The sequence below is a fragment of the Homo sapiens genome, chromosome 2 (assembly GCF_000001405.40).
Source record: "Homo sapiens chromosome 2, GRCh38.p14 Primary Assembly".
NCBI classification, from domain to species: domain Eukaryota; kingdom Metazoa; phylum Chordata; class Mammalia; order Primates; family Hominidae; genus Homo; species Homo sapiens.
The window spans coordinates 128,261,816-128,286,343 of NC_000002.12; the positions used below are offsets into that span (position 1 = coordinate 128,261,816).

At 57.6% G+C, this 24,528-nt stretch overlaps 1 protein-coding gene across 1 annotated transcript in view, besides 7 other annotated features; it reads right to left on the bottom strand.

Annotated features, from left to right (window-relative positions):
- Positions 174–743: an enhancer, noted in NCBI's record as "H3K4me1 hESC enhancer chr2:129019563-129020132 (GRCh37/hg19 assembly coordinates)". NCBI's record gives its function as "activates a minimal SCP1, AML or CMV promoter by ChIP-STARR-seq in primed H9 embryonic stem cells {active_cell/tissue: H9 hESC(primed)}" and the evidence as "EXISTENCE:reporter gene assay evidence [ECO:0000049][PMID:30033119]".
- Positions 758–1,259: an enhancer, noted in NCBI's record as "H3K4me1 hESC enhancer chr2:129020147-129020648 (GRCh37/hg19 assembly coordinates)". NCBI's record gives its function as "activates a minimal SCP1, AML or CMV promoter by ChIP-STARR-seq in naive H9 embryonic stem cells {active_cell/tissue: H9 hESC(naive)}" and the evidence as "EXISTENCE:reporter gene assay evidence [ECO:0000049][PMID:30033119]".
- The window catches only part of HS6ST1 (heparan sulfate 6-O-sulfotransferase 1), a 53,389-nt gene continuing 32,525 nt past the window's right edge, over positions 3,665–24,528 (bottom strand). The window contains exon 2 of the mRNA NM_004807.3: positions 3,665–7,055. Within this exon, the coding sequence (NP_004798.3) occupies positions 6,347–7,055 (709 nt within the window). The 3' untranslated portion in view covers positions 3,665–6,346. The remainder of the gene's footprint in view (positions 7,056–24,528) is intronic.
- Positions 8,780–9,441: an enhancer, noted in NCBI's record as "H3K4me1 hESC enhancer chr2:129028169-129028830 (GRCh37/hg19 assembly coordinates)". NCBI's record gives its function as "activates a minimal SCP1, AML or CMV promoter by ChIP-STARR-seq in naive H9 embryonic stem cells {active_cell/tissue: H9 hESC(naive)}" and the evidence as "EXISTENCE:reporter gene assay evidence [ECO:0000049][PMID:30033119]".
- Positions 8,860–9,154: a silencer, noted in NCBI's record as "tiled region #3737; K562 Repressive non-DNase unmatched - State 19:H4K20". NCBI's record gives its function as "represses a minimal TATA promoter and a strong SV40 promoter by Sharpr-MPRA in K562 cells {active_cell/tissue: K562}" and the evidence as "EXISTENCE:reporter gene assay evidence [ECO:0000049][PMID:27701403]".
- Positions 8,860–9,154: an enhancer, noted in NCBI's record as "tiled region #3737; HepG2 Activating DNase matched - State 14:Gen5'". NCBI's record gives its function as "activates a minimal TATA promoter and a strong SV40 promoter by Sharpr-MPRA in HepG2 cells {active_cell/tissue: HepG2}" and the evidence as "EXISTENCE:reporter gene assay evidence [ECO:0000049][PMID:27701403]".
- Positions 9,442–10,103: an enhancer, noted in NCBI's record as "H3K4me1 hESC enhancer chr2:129028831-129029492 (GRCh37/hg19 assembly coordinates)". NCBI's record gives its function as "activates a minimal SCP1, AML or CMV promoter by ChIP-STARR-seq in naive H9 embryonic stem cells {active_cell/tissue: H9 hESC(naive)}" and the evidence as "EXISTENCE:reporter gene assay evidence [ECO:0000049][PMID:30033119]".
- Positions 22,694–23,523: an enhancer, noted in NCBI's record as "H3K27ac-H3K4me1 hESC enhancer chr2:129042083-129042912 (GRCh37/hg19 assembly coordinates)". NCBI's record gives its function as "activates a minimal SCP1, AML or CMV promoter by ChIP-STARR-seq in naive H9 embryonic stem cells {active_cell/tissue: H9 hESC(naive)}" and the evidence as "EXISTENCE:reporter gene assay evidence [ECO:0000049][PMID:30033119]".

Consider the following 24,528-nt stretch of genomic DNA (forward strand, 5'->3'; position numbering starts at 1 on the left):
TGAAGCCCGAGGCCCGGGGCTGAGCTGGGAGTGTTGGTGCAGACAGAGCTGGAGGCCAGTGAAAGGCAGCAGGGAGCAGGGCCGGCAGGAGGGAGGCAGACAGGTGTCCTCTCAGCGTGGGGCTGGGAGCAGGATGGCAGGGCCGGGCAGGGCTGCATGGAAAACGGTCATGGCCCTTTGGGGGAAAGAAAGGGGAGAGAGAGGGACAGTGTGTGGGTGTGCCCACAGGAGAGGCTGGGCCCACATGGTTTTGCTGGGCAGCGGCAAGGCAGTGGGTGGGGCCAGGATTCCGTGCTTTCAACAAGCCCCCAGGTGGCTCATTTGTGGTCAGTGTTTTGTCCGCCTTTGTGGGCAGGTGTGGGGCCAGGCCTGGCTCCCCCGATGCAGCCAGATCCTCACAGCAGCCTTTCCATTTCTTTTTTTTATTTTTTTGAGACGAAGTCTGTTGCCAGGCTGGAGTGCAGTGACGTGATCTTGGCTCACTGCAACCTCCGCCTCCTGGGTTCAAGTGATCTCCTGCCTCAGCCTCCCGAGTAGCTGGTATGACAGGTGCCCGCCACCACTCCTGGCTAATTTTTAATATTTTTAGTAGAGGTGGGGTTTTGCCATGTTGGCCAGGCTGGTTTCGAACTCCTGGCCTCAGATGACCCGCCTGCCTCGGCCTCCCAAAGTGCTGATATTACAGGCGTGAGCCACCACACCTGGCCCAGCCTTCCCATTTCACAGAGAAGGAAATGGAGGCACAGGAGCAAACAGCAGCCAGTGGTCCACTTGGAACCCAAGACCTCATCTGACAAAGCGACTCCTGCAGGTTTCTCTGCTGCTGCTGCTACATGTCAGGGGACCCAGACCCAGGCTCTCCCCGCCAGGGGTGTCCTTGGAGCCCTGAGGTGAGGCCCTCCTAGGAAGGTGTCCTCATGTCATGAATACACTGTGTGCCCTCCGAGTCCTCCTAGGCTGGAAGCTCCCCGAGTCCAGGTGTACACTCCCGGGAGAGGACTTAGGGCTCCCACCTTTGCGAGGGTGGCCTGAGGATGGGTTCCTCTCTGTGCCACAATGAAGGGGACCAGGGGCCCCAAGCCAGGCACCTAGACCACGTCTAGGTAGGGTTAGTTGGGGCCCAGCTTCCCCAAGGAAGAGAACCCAGCGCTGTGTGCAAAGGTGCCCCCAGCTGAACAGGGTGTGAGGACTGATACTGGCCTGATGGCTTTGGCATGAAGCCCAAGGGGAGCAGTGGGGAGCAGGCCTAACAGGCCCATCCAGGGACAGGGCCGTGGCTGGCCATGGCTGGAGCAACTGGTGTGAAGACAGAACGCCGGGGCAGGAGGGATGAGGCATATGGCGCTGGCCACGAGGCTGGGTGGTAGAGGAGCTGCCTTTGTCCAAACCCACAGGCCCGGGAGCAAGGGCAGATGTGGGTTTCCCTGGCAGGATAGAAGGGGGCAGGGGACCTCGGAGGATCGGGTGAGCCTGACGCTCACAGTGGGGACTCTGTGGCAGTGGGCAGGAAGTGGGGATGAGAGCTGGGCAGGGGGCAGGCCTGAGCCTCCTGAGTCTTTGGCTCAGGTGGACTTCATTCATTTATTTATTTATTGAGACAGAGACTTGCTCTGTTGCCCAGGCTGGAGTACAATGGCATGATCTCCGCTCACTGCAACCTCTGCCACCTGGGTTCAAGCGATTCTCCTGCCTCAGCCTCTCCAGTAGCTAGGATTACAGGCGCATGCCACCACGCCCGACTATATATTTTTGGTTAGAGACAGGGTTTTACCATGTTGGCCAGGCTGGTCTCGAACTCCTGACCTCAAGTGATCTGCCTGCCTCGGCCTCCCAAAGTGCTGGGATTACAGGCGTGAGCCACCGCACCTGGCCTCAGGTGGACTTTAATAAAGTGGCCTTCGGCCAGGTAACAGAACAAGACTCTGTCTTTAAAAACAAAAAAAGGTGGCCTTCAACTCTAAAGAGAAGCAGGAAGAGGAAAACCCCCATTCTGGGTGAGGTATTTTCAGGTCTGATTTCACCTTTGATCATGACACTGGCCCTACAGAGTCCAGTGGTACTATCAGAAGGTGGAGGAAGCTTCCATCTTGGCTCCCCCGAGGGAGAAGCCAGGCTGAGGGCTGGTCCACACCCCAAATAAACCTCCGCATGAAGTGTCCAGGAAGGACTCGGGAGTTCCTCTTGGCGTCTGGCCTCTGCTCCTCCCTTCCGCACTCTACCTAGGCATGAGCAGGTGTTGACGTGGAGTCTGAGACTGGGGTTTTAAGAAGGCAGCTACGTTCTGACTCCTGCCCTACTTGTGCCGTGACCCTCCCAGAAACACCTTGATGACCTTTGTCACTGGGATGGTGGCAGGTAGAAGCCGTGACCCTCCCAGAAACACCCTGGTGACCTTTGTCACTGGGATGGTGGCAGGTATGAGCTGGCAGGTGACCACTATGGCTGGGTTTCCCCAGGGGCTGAGTGGGGAGGCTGGACTTCCCTCATCTGGGGAACAGAGCCACAGGACACCTGGGCTGATGGAAGGTGCCTCACCCGAGGGCCTTCCTACCCAATTTCACCGAATCTGACCACTAGGAAACTGACATCTGTAGTTTTTTTTCTTTTTTTTCTTTTTTTTTTTTTTAGGAATCTTGCTCTGTTGCCCAGGCTGGAGTGCAGTGGCGCAATCTCAGCTCACTGCAAGCTCTGCCTCCCGGGTTCATGCCATTCTCCTGCCTCAGCCTCCTGAGTAGCTGAGGCTACAGGTGCCCGCCACCAAGCCCGGCTAATTTTTTGTATTTTTAGTAGAGACGGGGTTTCACCGCGTTAGCCAGGATGGTCTCGATCTCCTGACCTCGTGATCCGCCCGCCTCAGCCTCCCCAAGTGCTGGGATTACAGGTGTGAGCCACCACGCCCGGCCAACATCAGCAGACCTTTTAAGACAACTGGTCTCTACTAGTCAAATATGTCAATCCTAAGAAAGACGGAAAAAAGAAGGGGTAGCTGGGACCCTCTCCTCCATTCAAGGAGACAGGAGAGGCACATGGGGCACCGTGTGGTCCTGGGGCTACAAAATGCTCTGAAGACATCTCTAGGACAACCAGAAGATCTGGATATTGGAAAATACTGTATTGTTATAAAATCTGGGGGGGGGGCTGGGATAACAGGGTTGAGTTTTGTGGCAGAACGTCCTTAGGAGACACGAGCTGATGGATTTAGGAGTGCAGTATTCTGATGATCACAACCTACTTTCAGATGTTTCAGAAAAGCGCGCGTGTGTGCGTGTATGAGAAAGTGTGGGCACAGGATAAGAGAAGGTGAAAAATTTAGGCCAAGAGCATGTGGGTGTCCATGAACTATTCCTCCACTCTCTTTGTCATTTGAAATCTTTCAAAATTTCCAAAGACAGGGAGGGAAGAGGTTAATGAGAATGTAACTCAGTGGCACCTGCCTCCCTCTCAACTGGTGTCATCTTCCCAAATACTATCACTAATGATTAATAAACGGTTACTCTTTATGGTGATGACAAAGTCCCATTTTTTCTTTCAGAATGCCTTACTTAATGGGACTTTCCTCACTGAGCCTCCTGCACCTGTGCAAAGCACCCCGCCCTTGGGACGTGGTGTGAGACCCCACTGGGAGGGGCAGCTATGCCCGCAGAGACCACAGCACACCCGCCACTCCTTGTCAGGGTTTATTTCATCAGCTAACATTCATTCTCGACCTAGACAAAAACAATTAGATGATTATGACTTGCTTTTCCATCATCAACTCATTTTTTTGTATGAATAACCAAAAAATTTCTTCAACACTTTTTTTTAAGAAGAAGCTATAAATAAATAAAGCTTTAAACAATCCTGGGTTCAAGTTAAACAGTTCCAGTTCCCGAAAAGTTCACAGCCTTGTTTTGTGGGCAGTTCTGCTGTTCCTGGCTTCCCCTTCCAGGAGGGGACGTTTGCAGGTCTGGGGGTCCTGGTGACTAAGCTGTTAGCTCCACTCCCTGCCTGTTTCCGTCCTCACAGCCCTGGGAGGGCCCCGGTGGACAGAGTCCTTACAATTTAGGAGATGCTGCTGGCAAAGGAACTGTTGACCCAAAGCAGGTGGCCTGAATGGGAAGTGCCAGGCTGGACACTTGGGGGCTGAGGGCACTGCCAGCTGCCGCCGCCTCTGGACACCTCAGCCCGGCGCTGGCCCGAGAGGAGACTGCTTTCCAAATGCAGCGAAGAGACTGAGACAAGACCCGTGCTTCCGTGTGAGTTGGGATGCGGGGCATAAGTTAACACATATTCCAATATGTACAAAACAACCTGCGCTCAGGCCCGCGCACCCAGGAAGCCCATGGTGAAGGTGAGGTCACCTTGAGCCAGGCCTCTGGCTGGGTGTCCACCTCCTGCCGGGAAGCCAAGGTGCCCCACGTGGCTTGTGCAAGACCTCACAATCCCCTGAACGTGTTCCTCCTCCTCCAAGGAGTGCACCCACCCCCATGTTGAGTGTCCGAGCAGATTCCCATTGACCCTGACCTCCCTTTGAAAGAACCACACCACTAAATCCCCTTGGCACTCACTTCCTTAGTGTGATGCATCCACCCAGGGAGGTGGCCCTGCGCGGCGCTGGCACGCTGTCCACCCTGCCCTGTTGACCATCCTGTCCTTGGACCCCAAAGTAAAATGGGGCCAGTGTAGGAGACCTGAGGGTGGGGCCCTTATGCCAGACCTCCAGGGGTAGCGACCTCACCTGACCCCAGCTTCGGCTTCCTGTGCTGCAGAAGGCGCTTGCTCCCAAGCCCGTGGTGACCCACGTCTCCACCCCATGGTGTGGCAACTGTGGTGGCTGAGTGGAAGCTGGGGCAGGAGAGAGGACCCCCACCAACCCCAGCCAGGTGGCCTGCAGAGCCCACTGCCCTACCTCTGAGTCAGCCTGCGGCCTGAGCACACCAATCTACTCTCTGGGGGATCCAGGGTGCCTGTGTGGGCCCTCCTAGAGACACCAGCTTGGCCTCCTAGGGCATAAGGAATGGGGACAGGGCACAGGGCACGTGCTTACAACGGATATGCAACATGGCTTTTGGTAGGGCCATTGCAGCCAGTGGGGAAACCTGCGCGGCTGCTGGGAACAGAGCATGGCCAGCCTTTTGCCAGGGGGTGGGGAGCATGGGGAAATGCAAGGAGAGCCAGGGTGGGGAGGGCTGAGTGTCTGTTGTCAGGGAGGCCACCTACAGCTGTTTTGCCAAGGCTAGTTGAGAATCTGAAAGCTCGAGTCCCAGTTCCTGGCCATACAGAGCCACTGTGGTCCGAGGGTACGGCTCCTGGGCAGGGGCTATGGTCCCATGCTCCAGCCGATGGAAGCCTGATGAACTTAATCCGTACGCTGGTGGGAGCAGTGGTATTTGAGCTCTTGAGTATGTGTTTCGGTGATGGGGCTGGGGCAGCCTGCTAGCAAATCCCAGTGGGTCAGAAAGGAGAACAGAGGCAGGGGAGCCCTCGGTCCCCAGCCCTTCCAGTCTGAGCCAGGCCTGCCTGGATGGTCACCTCCAAGGGCCAGCCGCGGACTCACGCACAAGTGGCAGCATCCCTGGCCAAAGCCTCCCCACTCCTGGGCTGCCAGTTGGCCCGAGGAAGGCCGGCAATGCAGCTCGGGCCTACTACCCAAACCCCTCCTTGGTCTGAGGACTGTAGGGAGTGGGTGGGGCCTGAACATCAGCTTTGGCCTCCTGACCCAAAGCATGAAGCAGGACCATGGGCCAGAGAGGGGAGCAGGCTTCCTGGGGGCTGGACTCGAGTCTTCTCTGCCTCAGATGGGGTGGGCCCTGACTTTGAGGGAGCTACAGATGGGTGAGCTGGGGGCTCCCCAGGCCTCGGGGCATTGGGGGCAGCCAGAAGAGGAGGGGCTATGGGATGGCCTGGAGCTGGGGCAGTTGCCAGAAGCTGGTCTCACTCCTAGTAGCCCGGACAGAGGAGCTAAGAGCGAGTGCTGTGTGCATAGTTGGTGAGGGACACACTCCCGGCCTGGCAGGTCCACTTTCCGCTGTCCTCGTCTCTTGCGCAAACCTTCAGTTTTTGCGATAAATCCAAGGAGGCCAGGAGAGCAGCTCCAGGCACAACACCTGCTCTGGAGGCCCTGCCCTGACCATGGCATCCTTCGAGCACGCTTTCCTCTGACCCACTGGGCTGCACCTGTTGATTTCTCAAGCCCCCATCCCTGCCCAGCCCCACTACATCCCTGCTCTGTTTTTTTTCAGGACGCAGCTACCTCTGTGGAGCAGGTTTGGGATGCTCATCCCTTGACAGTCTTGGGTGGACCTGTCGTCTGTCCTGTTTTATCCCCCACACCCCCCAAGAGGCCTCCCCGTGGCCACCACCGCCACTACCACTTCTCAATGATGTGGCTCATGTAGTCCTCGGTGGGCACGCGGCCCGGCTCGTCGGCATCCTCCCGCGGCAGTGCCTCCTTGGCCCGGTGCAGCAGACGCTCCTCGCGGCTCCTCAGGCGCTGCTCCCTGCGCTCCAGCTGCCGCTTGTACTGGTAGCGCTGCTGGAAGAGGTCCTTGGCGTAGTCGTACAGCTGCATGTCCAGGTCGTTGAGCTCCTCGATGCGCCGGATGGTGTCTTCATCCACCTCCACGCCGCCCGCCCGCGTGCTATTGTACTGCATGAAGGGCCGGATGAACTTGAGGTTGAACGTCCGCTCGAACAGGTACTGCGTCTTGCGCTGGAACTCGGTCAGGCCGAAGAAGGCCATGCCCCGCAGGTTCTTCTTGGCGCTCTCGAGCAGCAGCTGGGCCCGCTTGCCCTCGGGGATGAAGGACAGGTTGTAGCAGCCCACCAGGCTCAGGTCGGCCAGCATGCGCACCTGGCGGTTGTTGGCCAGGTTGTACGGGCAGTCCATGAACTCCTGTAGCGTGCAGCCCGACCAGTCCGTGCCCTCGTAGCAGGGCGGCAGCTCCTCAGGCGTGGGCGTGCGCCCATCACACATATGCAACGACGTCTTCCACGTGGCACCCCTCTGCACATGCCGCCACTCGCTCAGGTAGCGGGACACGGGGTCTCGTAGCAGGGTGATGTAGTAGAACTTCCTGCAAGGAGACGGGGAGAGGAGGTGAGGGCTGTGACGCAGCATGAGGGGGGCTACCAGGGCTGCTCTGAGTCAAAGTCCCCACTACAGGAGTTTGGGCTTCGCCTCTAATGCCAACCAACTCCTGCACTTAGCTCTCAGTCGTTTCAAAACCCGGTATCAGAGATGCCAAGGAGCATGCCACGGTCACATGGCTACCCAGGATGACCACCACAGTGCCCTGCAGCGCCTGGCCTGGCTCCTCTGGAGGGACAACCTGACTTTTTCCTGCTGGTGGGTGGAGCCACCAATACCGCATCCAGAGAAGTCGCAGAGCCACAGCCGCCTGAGGCCAGCAGTCTTCACCAGCTGTTTACAGCCTGGGCATGGTGCCACCCAAAGAGCCACTCAGCAGGAACAGAAGGTGGGCAGGGGCCAGCGAGGGTCACCTCCAGTCCCAGTCCCAGGGTCCTGCCAAGGCCTGGTGGTGGTTGGGGGGGGGGTGCCCAGCGGACCAGCCAGCCCAGGACCCCAGAGGAAGCCATGACGTATACACCAACTCTACTTGCTGGGTTGTCCCCCAAGACACCAACGCATTGCACAGTATGTAACGGTGCGTGCACAAGGGAGAAACGACCCAAGGAAGACTCCACCTCCCACCCTCCCCTGCGCGGCAGGAGCCCAGCATGAAGCATGTCCTTGCCAGGCTCGCTATGACGCTGGGCTGGAGGCGTCAGGACACTGGACAGGTGGGTAAAACGTGGTGGCGGCTGTGGATATGCCCGGTGTGTGTGTGTGGGCTCAGCCCCGGGAGAGGCTGCAGTCATTCTTAGAGGGCTCCTCCTCCTGGCTCCTGTCCACGCTGGGGTGGGTGGGCTTCAGGCCAAGTAGAACCAGGGCCAGGCAGGCAGCCTAGGAGCCCACAGGGCCCCTCACTGCCCGGGGGAGCAGCTCCAGAAGGGCCCTGACCCCCCGCCAGGATTCCCCAGATGGCAACATGGAAGTGTACCCACACTGCTCCCCTCCTCCCCTCACACTGCCCTGGGCAGGGGTGGGGGTGGGGGGCATGGAGGGACCCCGGGGAGCACAAAGCGCTTCTTGGTGTCCGCTGGCAACTGCCTGATCTGACCGCACACCTCCCTGCAGGGAGGGAGGCACAGTGCCTGGCAAGTGGTGCGGTGCCACTGCAGGCCACCCCCGCCTATGAGGACATGTCAGAAAGCCCCAGGGGTGGCAGCTCTGAAGCAGGCGGGGTAGCCAGTGATGGCTCCAGGGGCAGGCAGCAAGGCCAGCACTACTGCATGCAGACTGCCGAGGAAGGGACAGGCAGCTGTCATCCGCCCAGTGTTTTCTGTGGCCTGGCAGGCTCAGACCCTGCCCTGGAGGAGCTCTCAGCAGATGGGGTGGAGGAAGGACCCAGCAGGACTGAGCTGACGACCCCAGGGTCAGGCACGGCTGGTCTCCAGGGGGCAGATAAGCTGTGGGCAGCAGGGGCGAGAGCAGGCCTCAGTTTCCCTGCTCCAGGCTCCCACTTCACACGTCCCAAGGCACACCTGGCCCTCCCCAAGCACCCTGCACCCACAGCCTGCCTGGTACCACCCATCCATGCTGATGGCAGCAGCTCCTGGGCACTCGGGGCCTCAAGGGCCAGAGGGCGGGACCTTCTTCAGGTAGCAGGTGAGACAAACGTTTTAGAAACAATAATGACCAAGGGCCAGGGAGTAAGGGCCCGAGGCGGCCGGGGCAGGCTTCTGTCTCCTGCCTCAGGCTCACGAGGCCCTGACTGCTCAGAAGAGGCTATCCATATCCTTCCTAGCTGACCCTGTGTCCAGGGGAGGCATAGGGCCGCATGGACCTCCGCTCCCCACTCCTGTGGGGCCGTGACCAAATGGATGGAGACAGGCCAGTGTGGCAGGTTTCTTCTGAACACAAAAAACCACAGTGTGATGTGTCCACCAACAGAGAAGCTTGCCCTCCTAGCCCCAGCCAATGACCCTGTGAGTTACAGCCACAAGGACTCTGGCCCCAAGGGTGACTCTGAGGGCAAGGACACGCTGTGCACAGTGCAGCAGGCCCCATCTGGGAAACACAAATGGCTCAGTTCCTCTCCCATTTTCAGCGCCCCAGCCCACAGGCGGGTCCTTCAGCCCCAGCCCCACACCCATTCAGGGACCATCCCCTGAAGCCCAAGGCATGCCTCCATCATGAGCTCCTCTGCCCATGGCCCAGAGAGGGTGTGTGACTTGCCCAGGGCCACAGAGTCATGACACTGGCCAGGGTCTGTGCTAGCTGACTGGAAGACCTGCAGAGCAAGCTGCCCTGTGCCTGGTTAGCAGCGGGGACAGATCCCGTCAGAGGCCCAAGCATGCAAGGGCTTGGCACCCTGCAGATGGGGTCTCCCATGGTGTAGCCTGTGCCTGTGTGTGTATCGTGCAGGCTCCAGAAGACGCTGATGAGCCTTAGAGCCTGCTGGTCATGTCTGGAGCCACCTAGCCAGCGCTGGGCCTAATGACTGAGGGAGCAGGCAGAAGTGGTGTGAGGCCCCTCGGTGGAAGGGCTGCTTCTGGGCTGGTGGAGGGTCCGGGTCACCTGCCTGGCTCCCACCTGGGAATGCATGCAGGCACCAGGCCTCGATCCAGCCTGTTCCTGGACAAGGGCCCTGGCTCCTCAGCTCTGGGGGTGCAGAACACGGGGAAATGCGAGGGAGGGAGCACAAAGCGGGGAGCTCGTGGCCAGGCTGTGAAGTGTTTCTGCTCAGTTCTGTCCGCCCCTGCTGTCAAAGCCTCCAGCTTCATGGCAGGACAGACTCTACCTGCCCTCACCCTCCTGCTCACAGTGGGCGGCTGCAGCCCCAGAAGACGCAGCACTCAAAGCTGGGGTTGCCACCTGCCACGATCCTGGCCTGCAGTGACGGGTGGGCACGAGGGCCCCGATTGACCCGAGGGCTTTCCCCTCCTGGGAGGAACTCATTCCTCAGCCGCACACAGTGGTCTGACCACACCGTGGGTCTTGGCAGCCAAGCTCGAGCGGCTGCCACTAGGGCACATAACTGCAAATGCCAGGTCAGCACCAGAGCACAGAGGGATGGAGGTGAAGCCGGCACCTTGGGAAGGGCCAAGACATGGTCTACACCAACCCCATACCCAGGTCCCCTGGGCGTTCAGATGGCCCCTGGCCACCTGAAGGCAGGAGCCTGGTGGTGAGGGCAGCCATGGGCCACAGCCACAAGGCTCCCTTCTCTAAGTCCCTTCTCCCTGGCAGCGACGTTTCTGAATGACAGCCTCCTCACCCCTGCAAAGCTCAGGGCCTCTGCCGTGGAGGGGCTGGAGCGTCTACCTGCTGCCCTCCCGATGTGGCCTGGTGCCCCCTCCCCTCCCCAGCACCGTCACGGTCTGCAGGTAGGAGGACACGGGTATATCACCCCTGGTCTCTGCATGGGCCATGCCCTTCACTGGAATGCCAGTGTGAGTGACCGCCCCTTGGTCAGACCTCTCCACCTTTAAGACCCAGCTCAAAAAGATAAGCGGTTGCCAGTGCAGGAGTGCGAGAAGAGCCCAGAGCACCCAGCAGGCACATGTAGTATGCACAGTGGGCCGGCTCTAGTAGCCCCAGATGGCACGCGACCTACTGACCATCACGGGTGGGGGTGGCAGCAGGCTCAGTTACCACGTGTCCGACGGCAGCATCCTCTCTACACAGCTGAGGGGACACAGCTGAGGGGAACAAAGGCCTCTCTGCCTGCGCCTGCAGGGGCAGTGTCTTGAGGGGACAGTGAGACCCCAGGGCAACTGAGGCAGAGTTGGGGGCCAGAGACAGGGAGGAGAGAAGAGGGCTCGATTTTCTGGGTCCAGCCATTGAAATGACTCGGGTTTTTTGTGTGTGAGCCACTTAGAGAAGCCGTGAGCAATTTACTCTTTGGTTTCTGAAAAAGCTGGGAGGGTGAGCTGCTGAAGACAGACACTCATTTGAAAGCCATCTAAGTCCGGGGCCCTCAGAGGACTGGAGGGGAAGCTTTCTCCTTTACTGCCCCAGGCCTGGCTCTCTCCTCTGCCAAGGCCTTCTGTGCACAGGAGGTCTAGCAGGCACCAACAGGGGCAACGGCAGGGGAAAGGGGCACCTGAGCCAGCGAAAGCCCTCATGGTCCCTGGAATGACCAAGCCTGTCAGCCTCACCTGTCCTTCCTGCGCCCATGTCCCACATAACCCTTCTGGACCAAGGCCTCCCGCTGCAGGGACAGCTGCTGGGGAACCACACCAGGGAGGCGGGTGTGTTCAAAGATATTAGCAGTGCTGGCCCAGCGGCTCTGCGTCTTGTAATAAAATGGCGCAACGGACACTGCACCTGGGGGAGCCTTAGGAGCTGACCGAGGCCCCTGCCCTAAGGCCCAATGGCTTACGCTGTCCCCACGGCTCCCTGTGCACCTTCTCTGCTCAGAACATTGCCATGCCCTGGGTCCCCTTGTTCTGTCCCCTAGACACGGCCTGTGGTATAGACAAAGGGCCAGCCAGACTCTAGAAGCTGCCTGTGAGGCCAGCAGCCAAATGTGGGTGTTCCTGCCCCTTTCTGCAGATGTGACAGCTGATCCAGGCAGGGTGACCTGCCCTTGGCCACCGTCCAGTTCCTACCTACACCTGCCTGAACGGTATGGAAGCCACTACCTGGCACGCCCCTCCATAGCCGGTGGGACTCTTTAGGAGCCAGAGGCGTCCAGTCCCATGCCCAACACGCAGAGCCCTCCCCTCCCCTCTGCCTTGTCCCCTTCCCTCTGCCAAACACTGCAGGCACTGCTGGCCACAGGCACGTCCTGGCCATCCTCTGGTCTGGTGCCCCAGCTGCGCCTTGCCCTGTCCCACCTCCTGTGCTCCGTCCTCTTTCCTCCATTGCATGCGTTGCCAGACGCATCTGCTGTTTACTCTCCAGTCTGTCATCTGCCAAAAGGCGGGGTGGAGGTGTCAAACAGAAGCAGGAAGAGGGCGGGGTGTGGCGAGGTGCAGAGGACTCCCCAAATGGCCCACCCCAGATCTAGGCAGCTCTCTGACATGTGCTCTCTGGAGGTGCCAAGGGGGCGGCTCATGGCTCAGAGGTTTGAGGAATGGTCTGCACACTCACGGTGGTCCCCAGCCCCTGCCCTCAGGAGCCCAGGCTCATCTAATCCCTGCCTCGCACCCCCTGCTGAAGGGTCTGTGCCCCAGAGCAGTCTTCCCTGCACTGACACCTGGGACCCCACAAAGCAGGGGCTTTGTGCCTATCACTATCCAGCAGGGTCTATCCATTCAGGTGCTCCAAGTGCCTGCCAGCAAGGCTTCCAGAAAGAGGGGAGAGAGAAAATAGAGGAGATGATGACAGAAATAACCAGAATTGGAGTACATCATTCACGGAGACTGAAATGGCTGACCAAGTGCCGAGCAAATGAATGTGGGGAATGAACAGAGGACTAAAAAGTTGACCCTTGAAGCATCTGGACAAAAAAAACAATACATAAATGGCATGCTTCTCCATTGCAACGCCGTATGTTAGAAACCATTGGAGCACGGTCTTCAAAAGGCAGAAGGAAAATGACCAATCTCATACCCAGCCAAACTATCAATCAAGTATGGACAGTAGAGATGTGTTCAGACATACAAAGACTTAGGAAATTTACCTTCTGTGAATCTTATTTTAGGAAGATCCTGGAGTAGGCATCTCATTTAGCAAAAAAGGAAAAGAAAAAACAGAACAAACAAACAAACAAACAAACTTGGAAGCCAGGAGCTCCAACCCAGGGGACGGTTCCAGGATGTCAGCAAAACATCCCACTGGGCCTGTCAGGAGCAGGGGGACAGAAGCTCTAGGAAAAAAGGGGCAAAGGCCAGGCGTGGTGACTCACACCTGTAATCCCAACACTTTGGGAGGCCGAGGTGGGTGGATCACTTGAGGTCAGGAGTTTGAGGCTAGCCTGGCCAATGGTGGCAAAACCCCATCTCTACTAAAAATACAAAAATTAGCCGGGAGTGGTGGCACATGTCTGTGTTCCCAGCTACTTGGGAGGTTGAGGCAGGAGAATCACTTGAATGCAGGAGATAGAGGCTGCAGTGAGCTGAGATCGCATCTGGGTGACAGAGCGAGACTCCGTCTCAAAAAAAAAAAAAAAAAAAAAAAAAAGGAGTTGGGGTGGAGGGGGAATGGACAGATGGCCTGACACAACTGAGCATTTGGTGGGAAAAAATGAATGGTAGGTGTGTGGCAGATTCTGGAATCATTTGGAAAAAATTAATCCATGAAGATAGAAAATAAAGCAAGTAAAAAGACATAGCAATAATTAATTCCAGGAAAAACAAAAAGTTACATAGAAAAGAAAATGAAGTACACTACTTGCCTCAGCGGTAAATGATGGTTTTGAAGGCATCATCATGTAAACAGTGATTACTGATTTAATAAAAACGTGAGTTTTAACTGTATGTGGGTGATGGGTGGGGTGAGGACAGACTGTGTGAGGGTGTAAGAACGCTTCACCTTCATCTATCGAAACAAAGTAAACAGAGAATATCTAAATCAATAAATTAAGAAATAGCACTATATGTTATTTAGAAATATGAAGGTAAACACCGGAAGTATACTGAGAAAGCCACAAATGGTTGTCTGGAGAGGTTGGAAAGAGAAAGCGGATCTGCTGGCTTTCATCATAAGCCAACTGGAACTACCTGTTTTTAAGTATGTGTATGAATTACTTTAAAAAAATTAAAAGTAAAAGAAAACGAGGAAACTGACCAACAAAGTGTATGGAAAGAGGCTCCACTGCATCAGTTACCAAGGCAGAGGCACAGGAAGCCACAGGCAATACCAGGAGAGCGGTGGGAAGGCAAAGCCGGGCAGCAGCAAGAGTAGGCACGAATGCAGGGCGATCTGCTTACGGATGTGAACGAGACGGTGAGAACAGTCATCTCCAAGTGTCTTCACTGGAAAGCAGAAGGTACACATTCCCCAAGATGTGGTCAGTCCTCTCCCAGATGCACGTCGCAGAGGAACCTTGCTGTTCACACCAGGAGGTGTTGGGGAGGCTGCAGCAGCCTTCTGGTAACAGTGCCAAATGCCCACCACGGTGGCGTGCTCACCTCCACGGTGGCATACTCCACTCAGCAATAAAAATGAACAAACAGTAGCTACTCACAACACCATGGGAAAGGTGACGAAGAAGGCACTGCACATCAGGACTGGATTATGATGGTAACGTGTATTTTATCAAGTTCTCAAAAACAAACAAATCCCCAGAAAACACTATTCAGGGACACACATATACATGTTGAAATTATTATTATTATTGAGACAGTCTCGCTCTGTTGCCCAGGCTGGAGTGCAGTGGTGTGATCTTGGCTCACTGCAACCTCCGCCTCCTGGGTTCAATCAATTCTCCCGCCTCAGCCTCCCGAGTAGCTGGGATTACTCGTGGTGGCATGCACCACCACGTCCGGCTAATTTTTTCGTATTTTTAGTAGAGATGGGATTTCACCATGTTGGCCAGGCTGGTCTCGAACTCCTGACCTCAGGTGATTAGCCTGCCTCGGCCTCCCAAAGTGTTGGGATGACAGGCGTGAGCCACTGAGCCCGGCCTGTTTTTTTAAAAAAGTGATGAGCTGAAACAGGAAAATTCAAGTCAGAGGCTAGCCCTGGGGTGTGGGGCTGGGATGGCGCTGGGTGCTCACAGTGGCTTACGTGGTGCTGATCATGTCCTCGTGCCTCCGGTGAGCAGCTGGGGGTACAGGTGTTCACTGTTATCCTATGTACATTATGCAAGTTCTTTTGTATGTCCCAAACACTTCGTGTGAATAAAAGTTTAAAGAAAGGAAGAAAGACAAATTGAGACTCTAGAAGGCAGCCTGAGAGGCCCAGCTGGCCTTCCAGGTGAACCAGTCTTGTAAAGCCAGAGCCTCCGTCCCCAGAGCTCCCCGCCAGTCTCTACCCTTTGCTCTGCTTGCAATCCCCTGCTACCTCCAGGCCCAGCAGATTCCAGGCGTCTTCAGCACTTCCTCTCCCCTCTCCTCCCCTCCTACGAGCTACGCTGCTGTGGTGAGCAAGACAGGCTCCACAAAAGGGGTGGAGGGCCCCTGTGGGTATCAGTGAAGGAGGACCACCTCAAGGGTGGCCGGTTTCCAGGGCAGTGGGGGTTGCCCTGAGGTTTAGTAACTAACCATGAATTAATGAGTCTGAATGCTCCGTGGCCACACTGGAAGGAACCACAGGTCCTGCCCGGCCCAAGCATCCGGCTGGTGGTTGGTTCACCGTCCAGGAGTAGGAGTGCCTTGGGGATGCAAACAGGGCCACTTCTCTCCTAAGGGATCTCCCTCATTGCTGCCAACCTGATGCGGGGGGCTGGGGACCCTGCCCAGTGACTTTGCTGGCAAATGAGGTTCTTTCAGGGTGGCAAACCTCTGGCCTCTTCTGTGAGCACAGCCCTAAGCTGCGGTCCTGCTGCATGGCCCCCACAGCACCCTGACATCCATAGCAGATCTCTGTGGACACCTATACGTGCCATGTACTGGGACAGACTCAGGGCTCCCAGCGTTCACCCCTGAATGGGGCACACACTGGTCACTTGAGGGTGACGGGGAGACCCTGTCTGCACCACTGGCTGCTCACTACCACCATCCAGTCAGTGAGCAGCAGCTGTGATGTGTGGCCATCCCCGAGGCGCCCTATCTGTAGTGGGGGTCACCTGTGTCTGTGCAGCCGGCCTACGTCCCTCCCTCTCACAAGTAGCGGGAGGGGTCAGCCCCTGAGACCCTCTGTGGGTAACAGGGCAGCTTCTCCGAGGAGGGTGAGGACATGGCCAGTGAGGCTAAGGCACACAGGCAGGGCCAGACCAAGGAGGGTCCGGTTCACTCTATAGGAAAACGAGGTTGAACGAGTAATGGCCTTGAGTGTGAAACTCACATGGATTTCAAAGATGAAGCATGAAACATCAAAGAACTCGAAATGCGCTATGAAATAATTCTAGTCTGCACGAACTGCAGCTTCTTGTGAAAGCCCACAGAATGATCGCCTGGATCATGCACTTCGGCATTTAATTATGCTTGGTTTAATGCCTTCTGTGACCTGAAGCTGTTCTGACATTTTTCTGGGCACTGGTTTAGTGTGCCCCACAATCAGGTAAGATCTAGGCACTGCTGTCAGGGCGTGGCCACTTCTAAAGTCCAGAGTCTGGATTCTTACAGGACAAACTTAGAACTGGCCTGGGAGCCCCACTCAAACATACAGCACCCCAGGGAAAATCCTGCAGGTACAGCCCATGAGCTCTGAGTGCCTTCCAGGCAGGAGGGCGGGGCAGGCAGGCACGAGCTGAGGCCAGCATCAACCAGGCCGGGCACTGCAGCCCATGGTGCCTGTCTCTCACTCCTCCAGTGGGTCATGCCCATGGCTGCAGGCGGCTTCATTTTGTCTCCTCTGCCTTCGAGTGCTGATCTGACCCAAACTCATGCCTGCATCTTCTTATTGCTGACTCTGCCTTCCGGAAGCTCAGGACTCCAGCCAGAAATGAGACTTCAAACCTGGTTCAGGGCATGTGGGAAGTCTGGGGCGGGCGAAGGAGGGGCACAGGAGATTGGAGCCTGGTGAGGGGCTGGTGCAGTAACTCCACCTCTGGGAAGGTGCTGGCCCTGGAGGGAAGGGCTGAGACATGGCAGGGCTGCCTCAGAGGGTGTGCACTGGAGTGTGAGCTGTCACAGGGAGTCATGGCCATGCAGGCGGAGGCCGACGGCAGGCACACAGTGGATGGTCCTGCGGCTCACGGAGGGGGAGCTGACAAGTCCTGAAGATGTGGAGAAAGGCCTGCACCAACCCCTGGAGCTGACTGTGGGGTTCCACGAGCAAGGGTCTATCCCCCTCCAATGTGCAGGACAACAGCACTCTGTGGTCATGGTTTTGTAAGATATATACATGTTCAGAAAAAACACCACCCAGGACAGAAATGGACTACTCAGTGGCTGTCTCGGCAGTGAGATAATGAATTTTTTTCAACATTTTACTATAAAAATGTTTGAACTGACAGGAGTTGAGAGTTCGGTGAAAACCCATAAGCCCAAATGTGACCATAACATTTTCTTTATATATTTCTATATTGTCTGTAATTAAACATTACATAAACAACCTAATAGGAAATATGACCCAAGAAGAAATGATTTATAAGAAATAATGTAATGAAGATCACAAAAGCCTCCCCGCTGCATGGGACAGGGTGTAGGCTGCAAAGGGGCCATTAGACGGGGCCGGCCGCACCAGTCCTGCTTGCACTGCATTTGTCCAGGGTGAGCCCTGTTCCTCAGGCCCCTCCCCTCCCATGCCCGAAGCTGATGGGGGTGCGGGGGTGGGTTCCATGAAACAAGGGTCTAACCCACAAGTTTCTAAACTCAGACCCTGAAACAATGGCAATTTTTATACCAGTGCCAACAGAGGGGAAGCTCCCTAAATGTGGGTGAGGACGCTGTCATTTAGAGTCAGAATGACAGAACCTTTTTTTTTTTTTTTTTTTTTTAAGAAATACTGTTGCATTACTTCTGACTCAGTTACTGAAAGAAAATGAATGGTTTTCCGTGGCTCAGAGGAAGAGTCCTTGGGGGGCCGGCTTCAGCGAAACAACAAGCATGCCTGTCACATTCTAGCCCCCAAGGACAAGGACATGGCGTGGTGAGGAAAGCTCTGAGAGGGGCTCTATTCCAATGGTGTGCTTTGATCTCCCAGGGACCAGGGGTCCCACCATGAGGACAGAGGCCACACCATGAAGGTTGCATCTCAGTGATTAGTTTTAAAAACCCTACTCCAGGTCAGGCACGGTGATGCACACCTCCAGGTAGTCCCAGCTACCTGGAGGCTGAGGTGGGAGGATCACTTGAGCTCAGGATCAGGAGTTCAAGGCTGCAGTGAGCTGTGATTGTGCGACTGCACTCCAACCTGGGCAACAGAGCGAGACTTTGTCTCTCAACAGAACAAAACCTGGACTCCAAGGGCACCAGAAATTCAGAGAGGCAACCTGGGAGAACATTCCTCTGAGGACCGCGTGAGCACCCGGCCACACTCAGCGACAGCACCTGCTTCCCCAGCCTACCCTGACTGCTGGCCTTGCCCCAGACCCATGGGACACCACAGGGTACCAGGATGGCTCTCTCCGGAAAGCGACCGGGCCTCACTGAGGCCTGGATCCTCATCACAGGAAGGAAATGAGAACCTTCAGGAGGACGCCAAAGCTGGGAGCTCACGGCATAACACACCACCGTCACCCTCATCAGCATTGCCTGCTGCCAACCCCACCAGGGGCCCCCGGTGCCCATGCCTCTGACAGCACCAAGCAGTCCGGCTTCTGCCCAGTTTGTTAGAAAAAGTGGAAGTCTGATTTTGGCTCCAAGTCCCACTGTGGGGTGGAAGCCGCTGAGCGCCCCACTTGGGGCGGGTGGCTGCCTCCTCTTTCCTGTGGCAGGAAGCAGCCCTCAGGCGCAGCTCTCCAGGGCCACAAGGCCGGGCTGGCTGTCCATGGTGTCATTCCTTCTGAGAGGGGGCACCTGCAGGTCCAGGAGGGCAGGGGATTGGGAGACAGCCCAGAGGAGACGACCCGCTCCCAGGAGGCACAGGCATGTGAGCCACTGCCTGAGAGGGAATGGCTTCCCCACCGCTCTGGTGTGCCTGCACCTGACCCAGTGCCGCAGCACCAGGCCTGGCTTGGCCCAAGGGCAGGCAGCCCCTCCCCTCTGCCTGCAGAAAAACCCAGATCATCAAGTTCTGAGCTGGCGGCAGCAGGCTGGGGAGCCCCTCTACAAATGCAACACAGAAAATGCTGGGCTAAGGCTGTCCCTTCTTGGTGACGTCTGTAGAAGAGTAGTCAGATTTTTTTTTTTTCATTAACTCAATCTGCTTCCAAACATACCCAGGTCTGGAGAGGGGCCCCATGACATCAGTGGTCAGGTGCTGTGTGGGCACAGGGGGCAGTCCTCACCCATGTGCTTCCTGGGAAGGCTGTGCTGCCCACACCCCTTCCAGAGAGCCCCCTCTTGCCTCAGGACACACACAGGGCAGGCAGAGCCTGCAGCTGATGGGACCTTTGGCAGGACACCCGGATGGACAGGTGAGGCTGACCCAACCCCAGGGAGCCCCTCACCAGTGACCTGACAGCCTGGGCGTGTCCCAGCTGGAGAGATGAGGAAGCAACACCAGAGAGGCCAAGGCTACTCACCCCCTCAAGCATGGGCTGGGCTTGGAGCTGGGTCAGCTGAGATCCAGCCTCAGCCCAGCCCCTTGGCAGGAAGGGAGCAGCAGGGCTGAGGCCCATCTCCCTGCCCTGCCCCCTCTGGCAGACGGAGGCACCTGGGTCTGGACAGGACTGGCCAGCTGGTGCCTGCTGGCCTCATGACGCTGCTTCTGCTCTGCCTACCTCTAGCAAAGTGTGGCATGGGGGGTGGGGGTGCCTCCTTGGTTCACCCAGGGGAGCTGAATTCTTACGGATGGGTGGAAAGGCAGTCCAGGTGGTACAGGGCTCTGTGCTCATGTGGCCCTCAAGAGAGAGGCTTAGAAAACAGTGCAGAAAGTCCCTGAGGAGGAAGACGCCCAGGAGATGATGTGCAGCCAGGTGTGGCTGTGTGACTGTCCGGCCATCAGGATGTCCTTAGAGACAGCCTTCTTTGCCCTGTTTTCCTGCTGCTGACCGGAAAGCGGATGTGACCGCGGAGCACCAGCAGTCACCTTGGACCATGAGGCAGAAGCCCCACTTTGTAGAGCGAAGAGAAAGAGCCTGGGTTCTTGGTGTTTCCTTGGCGTTCCACCAGCCTGGTCTGCTTATGCTGGGCTCCCTTCCAAAGGGAGGGAAATAAAAAATAAACTGCTGCCCTGTTTTGGCCTCTGAACCTAATCCATCTATTCAGGGAGATACACCAGGGACCTGAATGAGATGACAGGGTGGGCTCCCGGGCGGGGCCAGGAGGGCCTGGCAGCAGCCTGGGCTCAGGAGTAACTGAATTATTAATTTACTGAACTCCTGGCGCTTTACCCAGTCACCCCATAGGCATGAATTATTCTCATTCTGCAGATGAGGAAACTGAGACCCAGAGAGGTTCAATAACTAGCCCAGGCCACATGGCTGGTCAGGGCAGCACTGGGATTGGAGCCCATGTCCACCTGGACCCAGGCTGTGACTGACTGAAGAGAACTATTCACCTGCTGAGCCACAGCCTCCAGGCTGGAAGGGCAGGCTGACCTTGCCAGTCCCCAGAGGCTAGGCAGATACAATGGCCTGGCAATGCTGCTCAGGACGCCCTGCTGACTACTGCCCAAACCATGGCCAGGGTGGTGTTTTCTGACTAGGAACAAAAATCACAGCCCGTTTCCTTAGAGCACAGTGCATCAGTGAAGAGTCAGAGTGGTCTGCATAAAGAAAAAACCACCTTTAGCCCTGCAGTGAAGACGCGGCAGTACTGGGCTGAACCACTGTAAACAGAAACTGCGGCTGTCCAGCAGCACCAGAGGGACAGAGCCGAAGCCCTGGACTCTGGCCCAACCTGGTGGTACCTCACTGTGGGTCACTGGGCGGGCCTTCCTCTGGCCTCCTGGACAGGGTCTGTCTGGTCCCTCACAGCCCTACCCAGCCCCCACCGGCCCGCGGCAGATGGTTGAAAACGCTGCGGGTGCAGAGCTGGGCTGCGGCCTGAGGAGCTGAGGGCAGCTCCGCCAGCGTCCTAATGGCACTGCCAGCCCCTGCTGGGAAGCCAGATGGGCAGAGACCCCGAGGCAGGAGGGCATGTCGGGGGCAGGCCTGTGTGTCCCTGCAAGGCAGGAAGTGGCAGGGTGGGGACAAGGCTGCTTGAGCCCCACCTCTGTGCCTCTGCAACTGCCCCAGCCCCTTCCTGCTCCCACCAACCGGTGGAGGCCTGGAATCCAGGGAAGACGCTTGTGCCTGCCAGGATCTCCTACCTGGAGGGGAGCTGGGCACTGCGGAGGAGCAGAGGGCCCAGCCTGGAAGCCTGAGCGTGCCCAGGGCGCACAGCCCAGCCCGGCATGTTGGGCTCCAGGTGCTGCAGGCCACAGCTCCTAACACAGGCGGTGCTGACCGCCCCACATCTGGGGCCTCTGGACCTCAGGGGACCAGACACCCTGGGGAGGGGCTCACGGATTCCATCCTCACTGCCAGGGGGCTGTCATCTCCACTTTGACTCACTCAGCTCCTCCTCCAAAGTCACCTCTCCAGCAAATAAAAACAGCTGTCCTATCAGATCCAAGCACCTGGCTCCAGGCCCACAGCTGTGTGTCCTGGGCAGGCCACCCCTGCGAGCCCACTTTCCTGCAGTTGAAAAAGGCCAGGACTCTCTGGCTCCCCAACACAGTGCTGGGGCAGTGTCCCCCGAGCCCAGGGTGACTGCTTAGGGGCTCTGGGGCACTGCACAGAAATCCGCTCACAGCAGGGGTCACTGCAGGCCTCTGTCACTGCAACAGCTCCCAGTCTGGACAGAAGGGGCCCTGGTAGGTTTCCAGCCCCAGAGCTCAGCAGTGCTCACATCTCTGTCTTCCCACTGGCCTAGTTCTTCCTTGGTGGCAGGGACCCCAAATGACGGGGAGCAATCCCAGTGACCCCCTGGCAGAGGACATAGTGGTTTAGGAGTTACTGTGCAGCTATGCTGTGAGATGGTCTGCTCCACTTGGAGCAGCCAGGGAGGTGTCCATGGAGGAGGTGACCCCGGGCCAGGTCTCTCAGGTGAGGTGGTGGCCTCCAGCAGTGCCACTTACACCTGGAACTCTGTGACAGCTGGAGGTTGTTGGGCCCCATGTCCTGGTCCTCGTGAGCATGTCTTCTGCAGCCTCGGCCTCCCCCTCGCTCCTCCCTCCCCCATTATAGGGATGGCAGGGGTGGGCTTTGGCCAGGCTGCTGGAGTGTGGGTCTACCCCTGTGGGTGAGGTGCCTGCTGGCAGGAAGTCCTCAGCTCCCTCCTGAGGAAGATGCAGGGAGCTCTTGGGGGCTTCCTGAGTTCTAGAGCTATCGCCACTCCTGCCGAAACATCTCTCCCACTGCAAGCCTGGGTTAAAATGCAACTGACTCCTGGGACTGTGGAGATTTGGATACAAAAATGGCAAAAATGGACCCCACAACTGTAAATCCCACATTCCAGGTCAAGAAATGGAGGCTGGGTGGCCCTTTCACCTGCCGAGGGACACAGGCCTGGACGGAGCTGGAGCAGGGGGGCTGAGTCAGACCCACGGGGCAGCCCCCCACCCTCACCCCACTTCCAGGGCCCCACAGCCACCCTCCTGCCGGCCCTGTTCCCGGGGGCTTTCCTGCAAGGATGTAGGCTTCCTGGCTGGACCCTGCTCTCAGGCTCCCACAGCCAACTCTGCAACTAGGTGCTCAGACAGGGCAGGGGCACCCAGCTTAGGCATCTCGGCTCCACCCTCCGATGGCCCGTGCCCAGGTTGCCAACACAGGCACCTGGTCCCCTCATCCACAGGCGGCCCCCCACCCTAGGGGCCTTCTCTTGCCTCCCTCCCACCTGTTGCCACCTGTCCCCAGTCACACAAGGCCCCAAGTCTCTGCCATCCCTCCCACATTACACCCATGGGCACACACCAGCCTGTGCCCCAGCTACTCATCCCTTTGTCCCAGGTGCTGTGCACACAGCAACGCCTACCATACTGTGGAGGTGACATCGTCCCTCTTTTTTTTTTTTTTTGAGACGGAGTCTTGCTTTGTCGCCCAGGCTGGAATGCAGTGGCGTGATCTTGGTCACTGCAACCTTTGCCTCCTGGGCTCAAGCAATTCTCCTGCTTCAGCCTTCCGAGGCTAAGGCTCCATGATACCCAGCTAATTTTTGTATTTTTAGTAGAGATGGGGTTTTGCCATGTTGGCCAAGCTGGTCTTGAACTCCTGACTTCAGGTGATCCACCTGCCTCAGCCTCCCAAAGTGCTGGGATTACAGGCGTGAGCCACTGTGCCCAGCCCCATCGTCCCTCTTAACGGGGCTGACTGAGCCCCTGAGAGGTTGTGACTTTCCCAGGGCCAGAGCCAGAAACGGAGAGGGACCCCACGGCTGCAGACCCCCACCCCCCACCTGGTGGTTTGGGCCTAAATGCTGAGCTCAGTTTTTCTGGACCTGCCAGTGCTCCTCCTTGGAGGCTTCCAGGATGTCATCACTGTGGCCCCACTGGCAGGCCTGGTGCCCGGGCCTCACCAGAGCACCCTGTGCTGCGACCCGACCTCTGGCCTCCAGGAAACAGGCGGCATGCCAGAGAACACACGCTGATGGAGTGCCTACTGCGTGCTCTAGGTCGCCGACCACCAGCCAAGCCCTGGGGCAGCAGTCCCCATCTAGCCTGTTTTCCAGTAAGGGAAATGAGTGTTCCACGCTCTCTGGGTTCTACCCTTCTTCTTTGTAGCCTCCCAGCCAGGGGTCTGGTGGAGGTCTGACTCCTCTGTCCTGTGCCCTTGGATGTGGTATGGAGGAGGGGAGAATAAGGCAGCCCCCAGGTTCTGGGCGCACCCCACTCCCTACGTGGGAAGGGCAGGTGGCTCCCTCTCTAGCCTGCCGTGGTGGCAGGGTCCACAGACCCCACTGGGGCCCAACAACGTGAGGCCCTGCCTTGCCCTGCACTGGGCGCCTGTGTACCCAGTCTCCCAAGGCCTTGTCCCACCTCACAGCCAAGCTGCTCACCTGGATGCCTGCCGCTACGGCCCAGCTCTGCTACCCTGAGGACTCAGCTGCACTGTGCAGGGAAGGTTCTAGGACCAGGGGAAGCCTTGGGGGATGGGCAGGGCTGTCTGCCAGCACCTGGGCCAGTGAGGCTCGAGGAAAGGCCCGTCTGTGGCACCCCTGTCTCTGCCTCCACCCTGCCAGGCTGACTCCTGCCTGGGGGTCCATACACTGTCTCCCTTCCCATGGTGGGTGTCCCTGCCTGCCAGTTACTGCTCCCAGCTGGCTCGGACAACCATCCCCATGGGCCAGGGCCTTTCTCCACTGATGGGTGGTACTGGGAGCTGAGGGCCTCCACCCCACCCTCAGGCCGGCAGTGGGACAGGTGCCGTCTGCCCCAAAATAGCTCTGTCCGGCAAGGGGGCTGAGGAATTGGATGAGACAGCCAGAGGGGACACAGGTCCCAGTGTCAGATGGATGAACAGGTGGGATTCCTGCTCTGCCAGCTGTCCTGTGTGGCCTGGGGACAGTCACCCTGGCCCCTCTGAGCCCCAGGGACTGTCTCCATAAAACTCGTAGACAGAAAGCCACTTCCCAGACTGGCGATCTGGTGTGTGGCGTATGTAGGGAGACTTAGAGCCTACAGCACCCTGCAGGGGTGAGGGCTCATCCAGCCCAGGACTGGCGTGGGGGACCCCAGCAGGTGCAGCAGATGTGAGCTGTGTGATCTCACCTTGTCACAGTCCCTGTCCCATCCAATCTGCCATTCCTATTCCTCCCTCCCAGGGGGAATCTATCGTGGCCGAGGTCTGCGGGCTGGAGCCAGGGTCCTGCTCTCACAGCATCCTGCAGGGCCAGGAACATAGA